The sequence below is a fragment of the Homo sapiens genome, chromosome 21 (assembly GCF_000001405.40).
Source record: "Homo sapiens chromosome 21, GRCh38.p14 Primary Assembly".
Taxonomy (NCBI): domain Eukaryota; kingdom Metazoa; phylum Chordata; class Mammalia; order Primates; family Hominidae; genus Homo; species Homo sapiens.
This window is the reverse complement of record NC_000021.9, coordinates 43,047,211-43,053,190: the sequence shown is the minus strand read 5'-3', so window position 1 is coordinate 43,053,190 and position 5,980 is coordinate 43,047,211.

The following is a 5,980-nucleotide window of genomic DNA, read 5'->3' as shown; positions in this document are numbered from 1 at the left end:
TTGTGGCCTCGTGTCTAACTTATTTCACTTTGCATGGTATTTTCAGGCATGTCAGAGCACGTGTACTTGGTTTCTTTTTGTGGCCGAATAATAAGCCATTGTGTGGATAGACCACATTTTGGTTCCTCATTTATCGGTGATGGACACCTGGTTGTTTCTGCTTTTCAGCCCTTGTGAGTAACCTGCTGTGCACCTTCATGGCCGAGTATGTCTGGACACCTCTTTTCACTTTTCTTGGGTGTGTACCCAGGAGTGGCATTGCTGGTTAATGTGGTAACTCCATGTTTAATTTTTTTTTTTTTTTTTTTTTGAGATGGAGTCTTGCTCTGTTGCCAGGCTGGAGTACAATGGCACAATCTCGGCTCACTGCAACCTCCACCTCCTGGGTTCAAGCGATTCTCCTGCCTCAGCCTCCCGAGTAGCCAGGATTACAAGTGTGCACCACTGTGCCTGGCTAATTTTTGTATTTTTGTAGAGACAGGGTTTTACCATGTTGGCCAGGCTGGTCTTGAACTCCTGACCTCAGGTGATCCACCTGCCTCAGCCTCCCAAAGTGCTGGGATGACAGGCGTGAGCCACTGCGCCCGGCGTCCATGTTTATTTTTTGAGGAACCATCAAGCTGTGTTCCATACTGGTCACACCGATTTCCATTCTCACCAACAGTGCCCGAGGGTTCCAGTTTCTCCAGGTCCTTATCAACACTTGCTATTTTCTTGTTTTAAATTATTATAGCCATGCTAGTGTGTATGAAGAGGTGTCTCATTATGGTTTTGATTTGCCTTTCTGTAATCATTGGTGATGTTGAGTGACCATCTTTTCATATGCCTGTTGGTTATTTTTTGGGAGAATCCATCTCCTGTTTTTAAATTGGGTTGTCTTTTTGTTGAGTTGTAGGAGCTCTTTATATGTTCAGGATACTAAGCCCTTATCATAAGACTTGCAAATATTTTCTCCCATTCTGTAGGTTATCTTTTTACTTTTTTTTTTTTTGAGATGGAGTCTTGCTCTGTTGCCCAGGCTGGAGTGCAATGGTGTGATCTTGGCTCACTGCAACCTTCACCTCCTGGGTTCAAGCTATTCTCCTGCCTCAGCTTCCCAAGTAGCTGGGATTACAAGTTCCCAACACCACGCCCAGCTAATTTTTGTGTTTCGTATTTTTTATTGTTTTGAGACAGAGTCTTTCTCTGTCGCCCAGGCTGGAATGCAGTAGCGTGATCTCAGCTCACTGCAACCTCCGCCTCTCAGGTTCAAGCAGTTCTCCTGCCTCAGCCTCCCCAGGAGCTGGGATTACAGGCACGTACCACCATGCCTGGCTAATTTTTGTATTTTTACCAGAGACGGGGTTTCACAATGTTGGTCAGGCTGGTCTCAAACTCCTGACCTTGTGATCTGCCTGCCTCGGCCTCCCAAAGTGCTGGGATTACAGGTGTGAGCCACTGCGCCTCGTCTACTTTTTAATATTTTTAGTGGAGACAGGGTTTCACCATGTTGGCCAGGCTGGTCTTGAATTCCTGACCTCAAGTGATCTGCCCACCTCGGCCTCCCAAAGTGCTGGGATGACAGGTGTGAGCCACTGCGCCTCGTCTAATTTTTAATATTTTTAGTGGAGACAGGGTTTCACCATGTTGGCCAGGCTGGTCTCGAATTCCTGACCTCAAGTGATCTGCCCACCTCGGCCTCCCAAAGTGCTGGGATGACAGGTGTGAGCCACTGCGCCTCGTCTAATTTTTAATATTTTTAGTGGAGACAGGGTTTCACCATGTTGGCCAGGCTGGTCTTGAATTCCTGACCTCAAGTGATCTGCCCACCTCGGCCTCCCAAAGTGCTGGGGTGACAGGCGTGAGCCATTGGTCCCGGTCTCTTTACTTTCTTAATGTTCTTTGATGCACGGCAGTTTTTAGTTTTGGTGGAGTCAAAATTTGTTTGTTTGTTTTTTCCTGTTGCTCATGCTTTGGGTGTCATATCCATTGGCAAATCCAAGGTTCATGGAAATGTACCCCTATGTCTTCTTCTAAGATCTGTACAGATTTAGCTCATTGTTCGATTTTGAGTCAATTTTTGTAGATGGTTTAACATGGGAGTTTGTGGATGTCTGTCTGTCTCAGCGTCTCTTGTTGAAGAGACGATGCTCCCCCCATGGAATGGCCTGGCACCGTTGCTCACAGATGTATGGGCTCATTTCTAGACTCAGTGCTATTCCATTGATCTGTGTGTCTGGCCTTATGGTGGTACCACACTGTTTTGATTACTATAGTTCTGTAGTAAGTTTTGAAATTGAAAGTATGGATCCTACAGCTTTGTTCTTTTACAATGTTGTTTTGGAAATTATGATGTATCCTGATGTATTTGTCCTTATGTTTTTGTGTGTGAAATTCTTTGAGCTTATTGGATCCCAGCACGTGGCAAGTAAGAGTTCCAAAAAGAAAACAAGGAAGGATCTCAGTAATGAAGTAATTCACAAAACTGCCCCAGAACTCAAAGACATGACTTTGCAGACCGAGAGGCCCACCCAGTGCCCAGCAAAATGGACCGCGAAAGATCTACACAGTGAACATCACTGTGAAATGTGAGGTCACTCAAGACATGAGAAGTCTAAAACACTCCCAAAAAAGGATGAAAAGCCCAGCTCACACAGGGAGGCTTGGGATGAGAAAGGCATCAACTTCAGCCTCCAGCACACATGGAAACCAGGAGATGAACCCTGACGGAATTCAGAAGAGGAAGGAATGCAGGCTGGAAGCCCTGAGGCCAGCACCCTCTCCCTTAGCACCGGAGGCAGGAGACCCACTTCCATCATGCAGGGCAGGCTTTCTGCCCAGGAACACACGCCACCAAAAGGAGGGAATGAAAACAGGAGAGGAAATGGTGTCACAGGAGGTCCCAGGGCCACTGTGAGTCCAGCAGCAGTAGGACAGAGGAGACCTAGGCGAGAAGATTGCTTGAGGCCAGGAGTTCGAGACCAGCCTGGGCAACACAGTGAGACCCTGTCTCTACAAGAAAAAAGAAAGGAAAACAACTCCTCAGGAGGCTGAGGCATTAGGATCACTTGGGCCCAGGAGTTGGAGGCTGCAGTGAGCCATGATTGCACTACTGCATTCTAGCCTGGATGACTCAGTGATACCCTGTCTCAAAAAAAAAAAAAAAAAAGACAGGAGTGATGCTTCAGGGGAGATAAGGAAATCAAGAGGTCGCCAGAGTGCTGTGAGCCTATCAAGAGATCTGCATGCCTGGTGGAGAGTTGGGAGTTGCATCAGAACCTAGAAAACAAAGAGGCCGGGCACGGTGGCTCATGCCTGTAATCCCAGCACTTTGGGAGGCCAAAGCAGACACACTTTGGGAGGACTCGACTCAACACACACACTTGAGTCCAGGAGTTCAGGACCTCATCTCTATTAAAAATAGCTGGGCATGGTGGTGGGTGCCTGTGGTCCCAGCTACTTGGGAGGCTGAGGCAGGAGGATTGATGGAGCCAGGGAGATTGAGGCTGCGGTGAGCTGTGATTATACCACTGCACTCCAGCCTGGGTGACAGAGCAAGACCTTGTCTCAAAAAAAGGGGAGAAAATATTGGAGCTCTGTAAGAAATGTAATTACATAACATGACTAGGCTAGGAATAATAGTTGCTTCATCATAATCGTGTAAACACTGGATATTAATCTATTCTCAATTATAAAACTGTCCTGAAGGAATCCGAGAATGGAATTATATTTCCTACTAGTGGGGAGGAGCATGGGAGAGGAAGAATCTTCATTTTTCCACAGAAGGATGTTGATAGATAACATCTATACTTACAAAAAGAAAAAAGCAGCTGGGCGCAGTGGCTCACACCTATAATCCCAGCATTTTGGGAGGCCAAGATGGGTGGATTGTTTGAGCTCAGGAGTTCAAGACCAGCGTGGACAACATGAGGAAACACCGTATCTACTAAAAATACGAAAATTAGCCAGGCGTGGCAGTGTGCCCTGTAGTCCTAGCTACTTGCGAGGCTGAGGTGGGAAAATTGCGTAAGTTTAGGAGGTCGACACTACAGTGAGCCGAGATTGCATCACCGTGCTCCAGCCTAGGTGACAGAGCCAGACCCTGTCTCAAAAAAAAAAAAAAAAAAAAAAAAAAGGAAGGAAGGAAGAAAAGGAGGGAGACAGGAAAGGAGCACAAGCAAGTTTCTGGACATATGGATGCAAGTAAGTTTATAGGTGAGCGCCACTCCAGCCTGACTGGCAGACGGAGACCCTGTCCGCCCCTCCCCTCTAAAAACAGTAGAGCTCTGGTGAGCTGAACAGTGGTCCTTCAAAGCTACCAGGCCCTAATCTCTGAAACCTGTGAATGGGCCCTCTTTGGAAAAAGAGTCCAGCAGGTGTGAAGCTGAGGCTCCTGAGATGCAGAGACACTCCTGGATCATCCAGGTGGGCCCTAAATGCCCTCGAGCTTCCCCTTCGGTTTTCCCCGTGTGGCCCAGTGTGAGTCCGCCAGGGCTGCTGTAGCAAAGGGCCCCACAGTGGGTGCTTCGACAACTTACTGTCTCACAGACTTGGAGGCCAGAAGTCCAGGGTCAAGGTGTTGGCAGGGATGGTTCCATCAACCCTGAATAATGAGATTCATAAAATACAGTGAAGTCCAGGGTTTATTCAAGCTTAAAGCTTGGGAACCATCACTCGGGAAACAGACTCGAAAAGAATGGGCCAGCGCTCCAGAGTGGGAAGGGAAGGTCTCGCTTACATAGAGGCAGAGACAAGAGAAGTCTGACAGGGTTGCAACGTTTTCCGTACAAGGTAGTGCATAGCTTATAGTGTTTCTTTTTTACGAGACAGGGTCTCGCACTTTGCAGTGGTGTGGACATGGCTCACTGGGGCCTTGATCTGGGCTCAAGTGATCCTCCTGCCTCAGTTTCTTGAATCACTGGGACCACAGGTGTACACCACCACACCAGCTAATTTTTGTAGAGACAGGGTTTTACATGTTGCCTAGGCTGGTCTCTAACTCCTGGGCTCAAGTGATCCTCCTGCCTTGGCCTCCCAAAGTGCTGGGATTACAGGCGTGAGCCACTGCACCCAGCGAGTTTGAACTCTTTAATGCCACAGCTCCTTCTGGGGCTGAGGGAACCTCCGTCCCAGGCCTCTCCGGCTTCTGCGGGTTGCTGGCCCTGCTTGGTGGTCCTTAGCTTGGAGAAGCACCCCCTTGTTCTCCACTTTCATCCTAGCAGGGCATTCTCCCTCCGCATCTGCATCCACATTACCCTTTGTGTAAGGACACCAGTCACTGGGTTAGGGTCTAATGGCCTCATTTAGCTTTAATCACCTCTTTAAAGACCCTGTCTCCAAATAAGGTTATATTCTGAGGTAGTGGGGGTTAGGTCTGCAACATGTCAGTTTTGAGGGGACACAATCTAGCCCATAGCACTCCCCACCCCCAACACACACACACCGTGCACAGAGTGCCTGTTAGGCCGGATGTGATGGCTCACGCCTGTAATCCTAGCACTTTGGGAGGCCGAGGCAGGTGGATCACCTGAGTCAGGAGTTCGAGACCAGCCTGGCCAACATGGAGTGCCTGTTGACGAGCACCTCCCAGCCTTGGCACTTGCTGGACGAGCCTGGAAAAAAGCCACAACTCTGGACCCAGTTTGATCTGGGTTTGAATCCAAACTCTGCCACTTATCAGTTGGGGGTTCTTGGGCAATATGTCCCAATTTCCATGTCTACAAAATGGAGATAAGATCTAGACATGGAGATAAGATCTACCTCATGCAGATGAATGGAGAAGCAAAATGTGGACTATCCGGGCAACGGACAATGATTCAGCTTAAAAAGGAATGAAACCACGCCACGTGCTACAACAGCACAAACCCTGCATGACCCCACGAATCCTGCGTGACCCCACTTATGTAAAGAATCTAGAACAGCTGAACTCAGAGAGGCAACGAGAACAGTGGTTGCCAGGGGCTGAGGAGGGGGATGAGGAATCATTGTTGGCTGAGAACAG